The 16,887-nt window shown below is 45.8% G+C and overlaps 1 protein-coding gene and 1 non-coding gene across 3 annotated transcripts in view, besides 2 other annotated features; both read right to left on the minus strand.

Moving 5' to 3' along the window:
- RERE (arginine-glutamic acid dipeptide repeats) overlaps window positions 1–16,887 on the minus strand; it is a 465,237-nt gene that overhangs the window by 139,055 nt on the left and 309,295 nt on the right. For both annotated transcript variants that reach the window (NM_001042681.2, NM_012102.4), the window contains 2 exons: window positions 5,947–6,071; window positions 3,605–3,704 (listed from right to left, as the gene is read on the minus strand). In NM_001042681.2, the coding sequence (NP_001036146.1) occupies window positions 3,605–3,704; window positions 5,947–6,071 (225 nt within the window). The remainder of the gene's footprint in view (window positions 1–3,604; window positions 3,705–5,946; window positions 6,072–16,887) is intronic.
- SNORD128 (small nucleolar RNA, C/D box 128) lies at window positions 3,342–3,455 on the minus strand. Its single transcript, NR_132752.1, has one exon. It is a non-coding gene; the product is annotated as a small nucleolar RNA, C/D box 128 (small nucleolar RNA).
- Window positions 11,027–11,710: an enhancer, noted in NCBI's record as "NANOG-H3K27ac-H3K4me1 hESC enhancer chr1:8562545-8563228 (GRCh37/hg19 assembly coordinates)". NCBI's record gives its function as "activates a minimal SCP1, AML or CMV promoter by ChIP-STARR-seq in primed H9 embryonic stem cells {active_cell/tissue: H9 hESC(primed)}" and the evidence as "EXISTENCE:reporter gene assay evidence [ECO:0000049][PMID:30033119]".
- Window positions 12,855–13,764: an enhancer, noted in NCBI's record as "H3K27ac hESC enhancer chr1:8564373-8565281 (GRCh37/hg19 assembly coordinates)". NCBI's record gives its function as "activates a minimal SCP1, AML or CMV promoter by ChIP-STARR-seq in primed H9 embryonic stem cells {active_cell/tissue: H9 hESC(primed)}" and the evidence as "EXISTENCE:reporter gene assay evidence [ECO:0000049][PMID:30033119]".

Genomic DNA, 16,887 nt, shown 5'->3' on the forward strand with positions numbered 1-16,887 from the left:
AAACAAGAAAAACAGCTGGGCATGGTAGTGCACACCTATGGTACCAGCTACTCTGGAGGCTGAGGTGGGAGGACTGCTTGAGCCCAGGAGGTCAAGGCTGCAGTGAGCCGTGATCCACCACTGCACTCCAGCCTGGGCAACAGAGCAAGATCCTGCCTCAAACAAACAAACAAACAAAAAAGAACTGACAGCTCAAAAATTTTCTAAACCAATTGCAGTTTTAAAAATGAAACGATTTATTTAAATTTACTCGTATTTAAATACTCCTACTGGATGTTCAACACACTTTAATGTGGCCATATAGCCTATTTCATTTAAGTTCTATGTTGCCCTAGGAAGCAGGAAATATACACTAATTACTCACAGGTTTCTTCTAAACTGATAAATGCCTAACCTTGTTTTAAATCTATGCTATACTCTAAGAAAACAATAAATGCTTTCCACACAACAATGTATATATCTTTTTAACTTATTACTTAACACAGCTCAAATCTTCTATTACTCTAGGGAAGTAAAAAATCCCAGTAACTTCTCTCACAGGATATTTTCATTCATTTTTCATTAGGAAAATGCTTGCAACTGAAGTTTTCGGAGTCAGTTCAACAGTGAAGTACAAAAATTAAAACAGCACATAACTTTTCAATTCATCACAAAATATGTACACATAACCTAAGACACCTGAGCCATGTCAGGCTAGTCTGAAGAGTTTCAGTGTCATAAAAATGAAAAATTGTACAACAAAAAAATCTCTGGGAGTGCTAACAAAACCTTCAGAAGGAGCTTGCCACAAAGAACCATGGGCAAAAGTAGCCAAAATGATTTCTATACTGAAGTATGGTCTACAGAATTCTTAAGAGAGTTTGGAATAAAAAGGGGAATAAATCATATACATTCAAGAAAGTGCCAAAAATAGACATTTAATTAAATATGGCAAGATCTTCATTATTCAAAATTCAACTGATAGCACAGTTATGAAAGCAGGATTTTTTTCACAAAGCTTTTATACAGAGAACAACTGGCCAGACATGGTGGCCCATGCCTGTAATCCTAGCACTTTGGGAGTCTGAGACAGGAGGATTACTTAAGACCAGGAGTTTGAAATCAGCCCTGGCAACAAAGTAAGACGATGTCTCTACAAAAAAAATAAAACTTAAAAAAAGGCCAGGTGCAGTGGCACACACCTGTAATCCCAGCACTTTGGGAGGCCGAGGCAGGAGGATCACTTGAGCCCAGGAGTCCGAGACCAGCCTGGGCAATACAGTGGGACCTCATCTTGACAAAAAAAATTTTTATTTAATTAGTCAAGCATGATGGTGGGCGTCTATGATATCAGCTACAGCTCTTGGGAAGCTAAGGTGGGAGAAAAGCTTGAGCCTGGGAGGTTGAGGCTGCAGTGAGCCAAGACTGTGTCACTGTACTCCAGACTGGGCAACAGAGCAAGATGGTCTCAAAAACAAAAATTAGCTGAGTGCGGTGGCACATGCCTGTAATCCCAGCTACAGCTACTCAGGAAGCTGAAGTGGGAGGATCACTTGAGCCTGGGAGGTCAAGCCTGCAGTGAGCCTGCAGTGAGCTGTGACTGTGCCACTGCACTCCAGCCTGGGTGACAGAGCGAGACTTTGCCTCAAGAAAAAACAACAACAAACAACAACAACAGAAAAAAGTTCCTATCAAAGACTTTCTCTTTGTACACACACTTTTAAGGTATTCTGAATTCACAGACATTCATATCTAACCTACCACAGCCTCTACTGGGCAGTAGTATCATCAACCTCTGAGTTTCAGCTTCCTCATCTGTAAAATAATCTTAAAGGCCCCTTCTGGCTTAATCATATGCTCAAAATAAAGATTTTGTATTTAAAACTAACCAACAAAAAAATCCCCACTAACTATCCTATCGAATCAGTGACAATGTACACAAACACACAATATTTATGACAATGTGAAAAAACATTCTCTTATTTACAGAATGGCATATCCCTAGCAAAACCACTCAAATGTTATATCATACTCAAGAAACCTAATTATACTAGGAATAAAAATCAGCCATATCACGCAGATATCTACGTTTCCTCAAAAGCAAGCTGCACAGTAGATTTCTAAATCAGGAATGGGGACTACTTTCTTCCCTCTGTTAGGAACTTTTGGGACTGTCAGTATTTAAGTCATCTAGCCGCCTCGGATTCTCCTATTTAGAAACTGGGACAGATGATCTTGAAAGTCTCTTCTAACTATAGTGACCTCTCAAGAAATTAAAAAAAAAGAAAAAAGAAAAAGAACAAAGGGGTGCTTAAATGACATTTGGTTAATCATCAGAAGAGGTGCTTAGCCTCATACTCAACAGCCTACATACACATACACAACGATGCAGACTATCAATATATCAGAAATTGATTCCATAAATATCATTAGCTCTTCAGATTTAATGGTTTCACATTAGTAATGATAGAGAGGAATTATTTCATGTAACTTTAAAATACATTAATATTCCTATACAGCCCCATGGGATATAGCCTAAGGCCAAAACAAATAAAAACAACAACAACAAACAAAGAACGAAAGACAACTGGTTTCAGTAATCATATTGTTTGCAGCAGTGTGTTGTTATCTGAGCTGCTGTGTGTTTATTATGGGATTAAAGTAGATGAGTAATTATGATGGTATGTCATGCAACCAACTCAGTAACATTAGCCTCATTTCCCTTTACTTTTAATTTTTTAGAAATTATTCGTGTAAAACTTTTTATAGTCATGTAAAATATTAACATGTTCCAAAGTATACTTTATAAAAAACAAGTTTATGCAAAAAAGTTTAGCTTCTTCCCATCCCTCCATGTGCTTTAAAATAAATACATGGTCTCAGAAACAGTGAAGTACAAAAACACGGCTTCTAGATTCCAATCTTGGGGGTATGACCTTAAATTGTGACTTAATCTCTCTCAACTTATTTCCTTATGTCTAAAAAGGTGATAATAATAGAACCTAGAGGCCGGGCGTGGTGGCTCACGCCTGTAATCCCAACACTTTGGGAGGTCGAGGTGGGAGGATCACAAGGTCAGGAGATTGAGATCATCCTGGCTAACATGGTGAAACCCCGTCTCTACTAAAAATACAAAAAATTAGCTGGGCGTGGTGGGTGTCTGTAGTCCCAGCTACTCCGGAGGCTGAGGTAGGAGAACGGTGTGAAGCCGGGAAGCGGAGCTTGCAGTGAGCTGAGATCGCGCCACTGCCAGAGCGAGACTCCATCTCAAAAAAATAAAAAATAAATAAAAATAAAAATAGAACCTAGAGGTGGTTGTGAGGATTAAGCAAGATCTTCTATGCACAGTACTTGGCTTTGTGAGGCCTCAGTTAAGTATCAGGTGCTATTATTAGGATCTCATTTGAGAGTCACCTCAAACCTGCAGCACAGACACAGATTAGGAAATGAACCTGCAGGTGCCACATCACTGGCCTGGAGCCCCCATGGCACCCAACAGCCAAGACCACAACTCACTCCTGAGTCTACAGGCGACTTCATGCTCCGCACTCATCACACATTCCCTACAGCCAGTTCAGGGGAAAAAGAAGTGTCTTCCCACTCAGGGTGACTTCAAAAGACTTACTGTGTTCAGTGCATTCAGAGTGGTGTCATCCCGAGAGGCTGCGACACAGCCGTCCTCTGTAGAGCCTCCATCACACATTCCTGCAAATGCCGCCATGCTCCTTCAGAAGAAAAGGTTTTTCCTTTATTAGTACATAGTAATATCAGGACAGAGACTTAGACCTTCAATTTTCAGAGGACATTTCCAGCCCAGAACAAATTCCATTACTACACGCATGATGAACCAGTTCCCAGCTCTGCCTCTGCTCCTATTTTTTTTTTTTTTTCTTTTGAGATGGAGTCTCACTCTGTCATCCAGGCTGGAGTACAGTGGCGCAATCTTGGCTCACTGCAACCTCCACCTCCAGGATTCAAGGGATTCTCCTGCCTCGGCCTCCCGAGTAGCTGAGATTACAGGAACACCCCATGCCCAGCTAATTTCTGTATTTTTAGTAGAGACAAGGTTTCACAGTGTTGGTCGGGCTGGTCTCGAACTCCTGACCTCAGGTGATCTGCTCACCTCAGCCTCCTAAAGTGCTGGGATTACAGGCGTGAGCCATCACGCCCAGACCAAAAATAAATTTAAGTTCCTCTTCACTCACGCAGAAAGACATATGTTACTTTTAGTCAGATCCATTTGTATTGTTTCTTCCCACGTTTTAGCAGTACTAAGATTTTAGATTTGAGAGCATGAAGAATCTAAATCTATGAGCCACAATATTTCAGTAGATGACAATCTTCTGAAAGAAAAGTCTCCAGAAAACATGTGAAATTAAGTCATCTAAAATTTTACTTAATTCCTCTCATTCTGCATATCAACTACCTTTAGGTGAATTAAAAGTAAAAAATCATGGCTGGGTGTGATGGCTCATGCCCGTAATCCCAGCACTCTGGGAGCCTGACGCCAGAGGACTGCTTGAGGCCAGAGAGTTCAAAATCAGCCCTGACAACATAGAGAGAGAAAAAAAATATATTAGCCAGGTATGGTGGTGCATGCCTGTAGTCCTAGCTACTGGGGAGGACGAGGTGGGAGGATGACTTGAGCCCAGGAGGTTAAGGCTGTAATGAGTCATGATTATGCCACTGCACTCCAGTGTGAGACCCTGTCTTAAAAAAAAAAAAAAAAAAAGGTGAGAAACCAGAGATAAAACCTCTTAGTCATTCACTCCACTTACACATTCTCATCTCTACTGAATGCCACCATGCACAACACCGTTGACTAGAAAACAGCCAGGTAACTGGGGCAACACAGAAAGGACCCCATCTCAACCAAAAACAAAATTAAAAATAGCCGGGCATGGTGCCACGGGTCTATAACCCTAGCTACTCAGGAGGCTGAGGCAGGAGGATCGCTTGAGCTCAGGAAGTTAAGGCTGTAGTGAGCTATAATTGTGCCACTGTACTCCAGCCTGGGTGACACAGCAAGACCCTGTTTCAAAAAAACAAAACAAGTAACAACCAAAAAAAAAAGAAAAAAAGAAAAAAAAGAAACCCACAAACCCATCCAGGGTTAAAATTCAGATGCCCTAATCCTTGCTTTCATGTTTTTGTTGTCGTTGCCAAGACCCAGAATCACTACATACAAAGTCTGCCTGCCTGCTCTGTGACACCTGCTCTGTGACGACCGCTCTGTGGTGCCCGCTCTGTGCCGTGTGAGGAGCGAATTCACACTTCTCTCTGCATCGAAGGCATTTGTATGTTCTATGCAACTGCCACGAGGGTGATCACAGATAAATATTCTCATGTAGGCAAGCCACAAAAATGTCAAGTTCAGGACAGGCACTAATGAACAGCCACAAAGTAGAGACAGAACATGAAATCTGTAGAGGGTTTTGTTTTTGTTTTAAATTTTACTTTAAGGTCCAGGATACAAGTGCAGAACGTGTCGGTTTGTTACATTAGGTATATGTGTGCCGTGGTGCTCTGCTGCACCTATCAACCCGTCATCTAGGTTTTAAGCCCCGAATGCATTAGCTATTTGTCCTAATGCTCTCCCTCCCCTCACCCCCACCCCTCTGTAGTGGGGTTTTCAGATGAGCTGAATGACTGAAGTACTCAACTGGATTGAGAGGTTTTGGTAACTGTATGTATGGCCTAAGCTGTTTTCCTCTTGAAAAGTTCCAAAATTTGATGTGGGGCAAACACCAAGAAGAAAAACATTACTTCATCATGAAAAAAATTACTTCAAACTATTTTTCTCTGGTAAGAAGAGCCAGGGTCCCGATTACAGAGGGTGTAACCAAACTTAAAGTCAGAGAACGCCCAATATAGAAATAAAATCTCAGGGGAAATGCAAAGTTTACTGCCTATAATCAGTTCAGATGGTCTAATTCAGAAAGCAGGATGGGGGTAGATTCCTATTACCTTGCTGCCCTCAAGTACATAAGGAGGTCACAGTCGTTAACTCCAGGCATCCAGACCAGTTCCTCATGTTGGGTCACTGTATCACCATCTGGAGAAGGAAATGGTTGCAGATCTGGAAGTTTGGCCTGTAAGACAGGGATGAGTAAGTCACAATCAAGGCATGTATTAATTATAAAGAGCTATCTCAATAAGCAGTCTTTAGGAACATATACAATGTTTTACTGAGACTCTTTCCTTGGACAGCAGAAAAATAACAACAAAACCATGAGTCATTTAAACTGACCTATTTCACATGTCAGGATCATTTCACCATAGAAGATTTCACAATAGACTGCTTAATATCTGCTTAACAGTGTCAAAGTAAACCAGTGCCAGCATGATACCAAGAGTAAAACTGAAGCACACACATATGCATAAAATAAACAAAAAAACAAAATAATGTCTTTAGATGATAACAGCTATTGATAAAGAAGGAAACACACATACATTTCCAATATAACAAGTTGACAAAGAAGACATATGCAAATGATACCTCACCTAAGGATATTTGCTAAAAAATTAAGTGAGCTATCCTATTAGAATAGTGTTACTCTTAAGACAGTCAATAGCAATATAAGTCATGGTCAATACCAAAACTAGATGAGTATTAAGTAAACATTAAAAAATATAGTTGAGGCCAGGCCTGGTGGCTCACGCCTGTAATCCCAGCACTTTGGGAGGCCGAGGTGGGTGGATCACAAGGTCAGGAGTTCAAGACCAGCCTGGCCAAGATGCTGAAACCTTGTCTCTACCAAAAATACAAAAAGTAGCCGAGCACGGTGGCGGGCGCCTATAATTCCAGCTACTCAGGAGGCTGAGGCAGAGAACTGCTTAAACCCGGGAGGCAGAGGTTGCAGTGAGCTGAGATCGTGCCACTGCATTCCAGCCTGGGAGAGACAGAGCGAAATTCCATCTCAAAAATAAAATAAAATTAAACTAAATTAAATTTTAAAAATTTATATATAGTTGAGGCTGGGCATGGTGGCTCACGCCTATAATCCCAGCACTTTGGGAGGCTGAGGTGGGTGGATCACCTGAGGTCAGGAGTTCAAAACCAGCCTGGCCAACATGATAAAACCCCGTCACTACTAATAATACAAAAATTAGCCAGGCGTGGTGGTATGTGCCTGTAATCCCAGCTACTTGGGAGGTTGAGGCAAGAGAATCGCTTGAACCCGGGAGGCAGAAGTTGCAGTGAGCCAAGATTGTGTCACTGCACTCCAGCCTAGGTGACAGAGCAAGACTCCATCTCAAAAAAAAAAAAAATAAAAAAAAAAAAATAAATATATACACACACACACACACACACACACACACACACACACATATGTAGTTGAATTGACCTGTGGTAACAGAAATCAGGGCAGTGATTTCTTTACGAAAGAAGGAATTGCTTGTGAAGAACAGGAAGGACCTTTCTGGGATGACAGAAATGTTCTGTGCCTTGATACGAATCATCACGGCAGATTGAAAAGCATACATAAGATACGAACAATTCGCTGTACATAGAGTATACCTCAATAAAAAGAATTTAAAAAAATATTCGAGCAACAGTGCTCCCCACCAAGACTGTAAGTGATCAGATTTAAATACCTGTGGCATTTTCTCACCCACACTCTGCTGGGACAGAGCAAGAGCAAGCAGGTGCCATGACCACCATAACCAGCAGAGACCTGTGAAAAGTCAGATATTTGCAAGATACTCATGTTCTCATCCTGTCAAATGATGACCATGGGCACATGAGTCTGATAGAGCTCCATGGGACATGAAGCCTGGGCAAACAATTTAAGTGAATGCAGCAGGCTGAATATAAGCCAGCACCATCCAACAGAAATAAAATAAGAATTATATATTTAATTTTAAATATTCTAGTAGTCACGTTAAACAAAATGCCATATCCCAATCTGGACTAGCCATATTCCAAGTGCTGAACAGCTATGTGTGGCAGTGGCTCCCGACCTGGATGTGCAGGTGTGAAGAACTCAAGAGTGAAGTGGACCACGGGGAAATGGAGATAGAACCGCCCCATCCAGGGAATGCTGCCACACAGGAATGGGACCCAGTGTGTGTACATCCTCCATCTTTTTCCAAATTCCAGAAATCTTCACATTTATGTAAAAGTTTGTGGTTTTAAATGTTGGTATTCAAGTTTTTGAGGCAACTGCATAGCAAAACATCACATTAGTAGGCCATGTGGCTCTCAGGCTAGCCATCAGCACCCACACAGCTTTACAGGCTGTCTTCCATGCCTCTAAATGTGTATCAAGCTGACTTTCTCCAAGCAAGGATGTTCTTCTTTGGTTAAGTATTGACTTCTCTAACATTGAACTGAGTGTCACAATTAGTTCTGCTTAACACATAGTGAAAATAGTGGGATAAAATTAAAACACAATGGGCCTGGCGTGGTGGCTCACGCCTGTAATCCCAGCACTTTCAGAGGCCGAGGCGGGCAGATCACCTGAGGTCAGGAGTTCGACACCAGACTGACCAACACGGTGAAACCCTGTCTCTACGAAAAATACAAAAATTAGCCAGGCGTGGTGGCACACGCCTATAGTGCCAGCTACTTGGGAGGGTGAGGCAGGAGAATCGCTTGAAACCTGGGAGGCGGAGGTTCCCGTGAGCTGAGATTGCACCACTGCACTCCAGCTTGGGTGACAGAGCAAGACTCTGTCTCAAAATAATAACAACAATAATAATAACAACAACAATAACACAACAAATGTTGGAGTCAAAAGGTCTTTGACACTAGTACTGAGTTCTGCTTCCCCAGCACCGAGTACAGTACTGGGTACAGCAGTTCTCTAATGTCTGTTATTAATCGAAAAGTACTATTACTGTGAGCAGGACCAACCTCCCCCCCATTCTTGAGAAAAATGGACTAGAAATATAATTAGACAGTTTACAGAAAAAGAAACGAAAATGCCTCTTAATCATAAGAATTGATGAGTTGGAGACGGGGTTTTGCTGTGTTGGCCGGGCTGGTCTCAGCTCCTGACCGCGAGTGATCCGCCAGCCTCGGCCTCCCGAGGTGCTGGGATTGCAGACGGAGTCTCGTTCACTCAGTGCTCAATGGTGCCCAGGCTGGAGTGCAGTGGTGTGATCTCGGCTCGCTACAACCTCCACCTCCCAGCCGCCTGCCTTGGCCCCCCAAAGTGCCGAGATTGCAGCCTCTGCCCGGCCGCCACCCCGTCTGGGAAGTGAGGAGCGTCTCTGCCTGGCCGCCCATCGTCTGGGATATGAGGAGCCTCTCTGCCTGGCTGCCCAGTCTGGAAAGTGAGGAGCGTCTCTGCCCGGCCGCCATCCCATCTAGGAAGCGAGGAGCGCCTCTTCCCCGCCGCCCATCGTCTGAGATGTGGGGAGCGCCTCTGCCCCGCCGCCCTGTCTGGGATGTGAGGAGCACCTCTGCTGGGCCGCAACCCTGTCTGGGATGTGAGGAGCGCCTCTGCCTGGCCGCCCCGTCTGAGAAGTGAGGAAACCCTCTGCCTGGCAACCGCCCCGTCTGAGAAGTGAGGAGCCCCTCCATCCGGCAGCCACCCCGTCTGGGAAGTGAGGAGCGTCTCCGCCCGGCAGCCACCCCGTCCGGGAGGGGGGGGGGGGGTCAGCCCCCCGCCCGGCCAGCCGCCCCGTCCGGGAGGTGAGGGGCTCCTCTGCCCGGCCGCCCCTACTGGGAAGTGAGGAGCCCCTCTGCCCGGCCAGCTGCCCCGTCCGGGAGGGGGGGTCAGCCCCCTGCCCGGCCAGCCGCCCCGTCCGGGAGGGAGGTGGGGGGGTCAGCCCCCCGCCCGGCCGGCCGCCCCGTCCGGGAGGTGAGGGGCGCCTCTGCCCGGTCGCCCCTACCGGGAAGTGAGGACCCCTCTGCCCGGCCAGCCGCCCCGTCCGGGAGGGAGGTGGGGGGTCAGCACCCCGCCCGGCCAGCCGCCCAGTCCGGGAGGAAGGTGGGGGGTCAGCCCCCCGCCCGGCCAGCCGCCCCGTCCGGGAGGTGAGGGGCGCCTCTGCCCGGCCGCCCCTACTGGGAAGTGAGGAGCCCCTCTGCCCGGCCAGCCGCCCCGTCCGGGAGGGAGGTGGGGGGATCAGCCCCCCGTCCGGGAGGTGAGGGGCGCCTCTGCCCGGTCGCCCCTACCGGGAAGTGAGGACCCCTCTGCCCGGCCAGCCGCCCCGTCCGGGAGGGAGGTGGGGGGTCAGCCCCCCGCCCGGCCAGCCGCCCAGTCCGGGAGGGAGGTGGGGGGTCAGCCCCCCGCCCGGCCAGCCGCCCAGTCCGGGAGGGAGGTGGGGGGTCAGCCCCCCGCCCGGCCAGCCGCCCCGTCCGGGAGGGAGGTGGGGGGATCAGCCCCCCGCCTGGCCAGCCGCCCCGACCGGGAGGTGAGGGGCGCCTCTGCCCGGCTGCCCGTACTGGGAAGTGAGGACCCCTCTGCCCGGCCAGCCGCCCCGTCCGGGAGGCAGGTGGGGGGGGTCAGCCCCCCGCCCGGCCAGCCGCCCCGTCCGGGAGGGAGGTGGGGGGGATCAGCCCCCCGCCCGGCCAGCCGCCCCGTCCGGGAGGGAGGTGGGGGGGTCAGCCCCCCGCCCGGCCAGCCGCCCCGTCCGGGAGGGAGGTGGGGGGGGTCAGCCCCCCGCCTGGCCAGCCGCCCCGTCCGGGAGGTGAGGGGCGCCTCTGCCCGGCTGCCCCTACTGGGAAGTGAGGACCCCTCTGCCCGGCCAGCCGCCCAGTCCGGGAGGGAGGTGGTGGGTCAGCCCCCCACCCGGCCAGCCGCCCCGTCCGGGAGGGAGGTGGGGGGATCAGCCCCCCGCCTGGCCAGCCACCCCGTCCGGGAGGTGAGGGGCGCCTCTGCCCGGCCGCCCCTACTGGGAAGTGAGGAGCCCCTCTGCCTGGCGAGCCGCCCCGTCCGGGAGGGTGGTGGGGGGGTCAGCCCCCCGCCCGGCCAGCCGCCCTATCCAGGAGGTGAGGGGCGCCTCTGCCCGGCCGCCCCTACTGGGAAGTGAGGAGCCCCTCTGCCTGGCCAGCCGCCCCGTCCGGGAGGGTGGTGGGGGGGTCAGCCCCCTGCCCGGCCAGCCGCCCCATCCGGGAGGTCAGGGGCGCTTCTGCCCGGCCGCCCCTACTGGGAAGTGAGGAGCCCCTCTGCCCGGCCACGACCCCTTCTGGGAGGTGTGCCCAGCGGCTCATTGGGGATGGGCCATGATGACAATGGCGGTTTTGTGGAATAGAAAGGCGGGAAGGGTGGGGAAAAAATTGAGAAATCGGATGGTTGCCGGGTCTGTGTGGATAGAAGTAGATATGGGAGACTTTTCATTTTGTTCTGTACTAAGAAAAATTCTTCTGCCTTGGGATCCTGTTGATCTGTGACCTTATCCCCAACCCTGTGCTCTCTGAAACATGTGCTGTGTCCACTCAGGGTTAAATGGATTAAGGGCGGTGCAAGATGTGCTTTGTTAAACAGATGCTTGAAGGCAGCGTGCTCGTTAAGAGTCATCACCACTCCCTAATCTTAAGTACCCAGGGACACAAACACTTCGGAAGGCCGCAGGGTCCTCTGCCTAGGAAAACCAGAGACCTTTGTTCACTTGTTTATCTGCTGACCTTCCCTCCACTATTGTCCTATGACCCTGCCAAATCCCCCTCTGCGAGAAACACCCAAGAATGATCAATTAAAAATAAATAAATAAATAAATAAATAAATAAATAAATAAATAAAAAAGAATTGATGAGTCAACCTCTCTGACAACAGAAATGCAAATTAATGGCACATATTCAATTTTGCATCTATCATACTGACATAAAGCCAAATGTTTGACAACACATAAAGCCACGAAAAAAATTAGCACTCATATTAGTTGCTAGTGTCAACACAAACTGATACAATCTCTGTGGAGGGGAATGTGGCAAAACCCCCAAAATTATATATGCACTTGTCCTCTAAGTCAGCCATCCCGCTTCTGGGGATATAGCCCCAAGATACACTGGCAAAAACATCAAAATCTATATGCACAGGCTATTCACTGCAGCATTACATGTAATGGCAAATGACTGGAATCAACTCATATGCCTATTAATAGGGATCAGATGAATAAACTGCTACATTCATACATGGAGTTCTATGAAATAGTATTATAGAAGGGAATGAGAAGGAGCTCTATATACTGCTATGAGGAGAACACAAGAATATACTGTTAAAAGAAAGGTAGCAAAAGGATGTATATTATGTTATTATTTATCTAAGAAGGGGCAGAGGGAATGAAAATAAGAAGCTTAAATAATAATAATCTCATTAAAACTACACCAAATGGAAAGAAATGCAACAATTGAGCTGGTTCTACTCTAGGAACTGTTTCAAGTAACTCTAAGATATATTAATTTGCTTATACAGCCCTGGCAGGATATACATAACAAAATGCAATACCAAGCTGTTTTCAATAAGCATACTGTTTGTAGCCATGTGATTATTGCTATTCTGGGCTGTTATATGTGTATTATGGAATTGAAGCAAATAAGTAATTTTGTTGGTGTCATTAAAAAATGGGATTTGAGTCACGGGAAAAAAATAAAGATATACATAAAAGAAGGACAGAATTAGTATAAAGGCCATAGAAAAATCTGAATTTGAATTGGATGTATCAGCATAAATTTAGAATGTATTTTATCTTTAAGAAAGTAGGGAAATAAAACACCTATTTCCTATTCTGTCTACTGAAAAGGCCTCGAAATAGCAACCAACCCAGTAAGAATGAATACCCCAGCACCCAGTATGTAAATACCACTTCCCACTACAATAAAAGAGGGCTCTTCTGAGACAAGTTTAATTCCACATCTAGGGAAGACAATGTATAAGGTGAGGCAGTAAAATCATGTCTTACTAGAGAAAAACGATTAAGTGAAAAGGACAAAAACCACTGGGATTAAGTGAAAAGGACAAATACGAAGGAAGATGCTCCTACTGGCCCAAAATGGATCTTTTAATCATCAATAAGAACTGATTAAAGTTGATTATAGATTAAAAAATAAAATCCACTGGTAACCATGGAAAGATAAGGGTGAAGTTTCATTTATTTGTACAAGGAATAAATGGATGGCAGAATTAGAATATCACTGTTTTGAAATCCCTAATAAAATAATGGATCTAAGAAATAATCAGTGGTGGCCAGGCGCGGTGGCTCAGGCCTATAATCCCAGCACTTTGGGAGGCCAAGGCGGGTGTTTCATGAGGTCAGAAGTTCGAGATCAGCCTGGCCAACATAGTGAAACCCCGTCTCTACTAAAAATACAAAAAAGTAGCCAGGTGTGGTGGCGGGCGCCTATAATCCCAGCTACTCAGGAGGCTGAGGCAGGAGAATGGCTTGAACCCGGGAGGCGGAGGTTGCAGTGAGACAAGATTGTGCCACTGCACTCCAGCCTGGGCGACCGAGTGAGACTCCGTCTCAAAAAAAAAAAATAAATGATCAGTGGCTGCTAATTACAATTAAAAAAGAGACATATGAGCCTCCTGGCAGAAGCACTTACCACCACCCAGGAAGCATTTTTCTGGAAGGCAGGGTACCAAACTAGAATGAGGCCGAACCTCTAGATTTAACTACTAATTCTCAAGTCATGCAAAGAGCAAAGTAACAAATTTAATGCAATCAGCCAAATCTAGACTGCAGAACACCCTACAGGATGAAATAGCTTCTTTACCACATACACTGGGGGACTAGGGGAAGGACCTGGGAATTAAGAGAGATTTAAGAGATGTATCAACCAACTGCAATGAATGGCTCTCATTTAGATTCTAATTTGAACTATGAAAATATAAAGAAAGAGAGAAAGATACAGACAGACAATTAGGGAAATCTGGGCATCGTATACACTTGAATATTAAGAAATTGGTAATTTTTATATGTTCTGATATATTGTGATTGTGTCCAAATCCCTTATTTTTGGAACATCTACAAGGAAAATGATGTATTTGTGAGGCGTTTAAAATAACGGCAGGAAGAGGTGTGAGGGGGAATAAATGAAATGGGTTTGACTAGGATTTGATACTTGAGGAAGCTGAGTAATGAAGAGAAGGACTTTACTGTATTATTCTTTCCCTGCTTTTGTATATGTTAATATTTTCCTAATAAAAAGGTTAATTTTTTTTTTTAAAGACTGGTTCTGTCACCAGGCTGGAGTGCAATGGTGTGATCGTGGCTCAGTGCTGCTTCAACCGCCTAGGCTCAAGCAATCCTCCCACTTCAGCCTCCTGAGTGGCTGGGACTACAGACATGCATCACCATGCCTACCTAATTTTTGTATTTTTTGTAGAGATGGGGTTTTGCCATGTTGCCCAGGCTGGTCTCGAATTCCTGAGCTGAAATGATCTACCCACCTTGGCCTCCCAAAGTGCTGGGATTACAGGCGTGAGCCAAAAGTCAAAAATTTTAAAAAGGTAAATGTTGCCAATTCATTTTTAAAAGTTTTATTATTTTTGGTGCTCCAAAACATTTCTTTTTGAAAATGAAGCACACAGAATACATTTAAAATCTGATGTAAAAAACCAAACATCTGATTTTAAATGGTGGTATACAAAAATCCAATCACAGTAAATTTGCTCCTTTTCCAAGAATGTAAGCATCTTTTCCTTAGGAACTACATTTTCTTTTATGGTAGGAAAAAAAAAATCTATAAAATAAAAGTCTGGTACAAAGATCTCAAGACACTGGAAATACACAGTGAGAGGGAAAAAATGGGTAGTAAAATACAGTGCAAGAGAAAGTAGAGAATGGGAGACGAAACTGAGTGGCATTAGGTTGAGTATCAGGTTCCCAGACCGAAAATACAGCCCCGAGGTGGCAGTCAGGCCCACCTAATGGAACACACCAACAAAAGACTCTACTTGAACAAGCAGACACTGTCCTCCTGCAGCTTCTTTCAGTCTGTATCAGTTATAACCCCAGGTCTGGGATGAGAAGTATCTTCTATAAACTATGTGACCCTGATAGTTTTTGTGTTCACTTCACTTCATAACTCCTTCACTTCTTAAGTTCTTTCATTACAGAGTTAAAATAGGTTATTTAAAAATGTAAATGACACACAATTTAGAAATGCTCAAAATCTAGACAGAAATAATAACTAGACAGACGACTGAAATCTCTATGCACTTCCAAGGCTCACTGCTGCCTGTATCCCATGTCTTTAGACATGATGGCCTTAGCTGTGGATTCCCCAGCATCCATTCCAACTCAAGTGCTAATCATGTTAAACTCTTTCCTCATGGTTTAGAAATAGACACATGACCCAATCCATGGCAACAATATGTGGGTCTACTGGGGACCTGCTGGGGAAATTTTCCTTGCTCCTAAGGGGAAAAGAAGTCCAATTCTTTCTTCCTCTCAACACTTGCTAAATTTCATTCATTGTAAGATCCACTGTTATTTTATGTGCACTGAGAAAGGATAAAATATAGCCAATAAATTATAACCACACCACAGAATGTACAATGAAGCCCAACTATAGGAGCAAATGTGAAGGAAAAAAGTGTATCTTAGAATTAGTCAAACTGAGCTGAGGATGACGCCACCTCCATGGAGGCCAGCTGGGTACAAGAGAGTCTCAGAGAAGCACAGCAGAGCCCCAGTCCTGCCTGACCAGGATGTCATGACATGGGAGACAGAAACAGAGCCAGAGTCCTGTCAGTGAAAGCATCCTAACTGATACTGAGATCAAAACAGAATATGCCGGGCCCAGTGGCACATGCCTTTAGTCCCAGCTACTCAGAGGCTGAGGCAGGTTGGACTGCTTCAGCCCAGGAGGAGGTCAAGGCTGCCGTGAGCCGTGATCGTGCCTCTGTGCTCTAGCCTTGGCAACAGAATGAGACCTGTCTCTGAAAAACGTAAAAACAACAACAAAAACCAAAGAGCTGTAATAAATGCAATGAAATAAGAAAGAGCAACAGTCGTGACACAGCAACCCTCTGACTGAAAAGTGTCCTAACCATCTTGACTCTCCTGAAGGAAAAGAAGTTGTTTATTTTTTTGCAGACAGTCTCGCTCTGTCGCCCAGGCTGGAGTGCAGTGTCGCAATCTTGGCTCACTGCAACCTCCGCCCCCTGGGTTCAAGTGATTTCTCCTGCCTCAGCCTCCTGAGTAGCTGGGATTACATGCGCACACCACCATGACCAGCTAATTTTTCTATTTTTAGTAGGGATGGAGTTTCACCATGTTGGCCAGGCTGGTCTCAAACTCCCGATCTCAGGTGATCCGCCTGCCTCAGCCTCCCAAAGTACTGGGATTATAGGCGAGAGCCACCACGCCCAGCCGGGAAAAGAGGTTTTAAACATCTTTTATCTTTTTTTTTTTTTTTTTTTGAGACAGAGTCTTGCTCTGTTGCCCAGACTGGAGTCCAGTGGCCACAGTCTTGGCTCACTGCAACCTCCGCCTCCGGGGTTCAAGTGATTTTCCTGCCACAGCCTCCCAAGAAGCTGGGATTATAGGCGCCTGCCACCACGCCCGGCTAATTTTTGTATTTTTAGTAGAAATGGGATTTGCCATGTTGGCCAGGCTGGTCTCGAACTCCTGACCTCAAGAGATCTGCCCACCTCAACCTTCCAAAGTGCTGGGATTACAGGCATGAGCCATTGTGCCTGGCTTTAAAAATGTTTTAAATAAAAATATGTGATCAAGTGTTCATCAATGGATGAATAGATAAACAGTGATACGTACATACAATGGGTCATTTAGCCTTAAAAAGGATAGAAATTCTGACACATGCTATTAACACGGATGAACCATGAGGACATTATGCTGAGTGAAATAAATCAGGCACAAAAAGACAAATACTGTATGATTCCATTCACATGAGGTACTTTTATGAGGCAGAACAGTCAAAAACAGAGAGAGGAAGGAGAATGGTGATTGCCAATGCTGCAGAAGAGAAATGGAGTTACTGTTTACGGG

The sequence above is a fragment of the Homo sapiens genome, chromosome 1 (genome assembly GCF_000001405.40).
Source record: "Homo sapiens chromosome 1, GRCh38.p14 Primary Assembly".
In the NCBI taxonomy this organism is placed as follows: domain Eukaryota; kingdom Metazoa; phylum Chordata; class Mammalia; order Primates; family Hominidae; genus Homo; species Homo sapiens.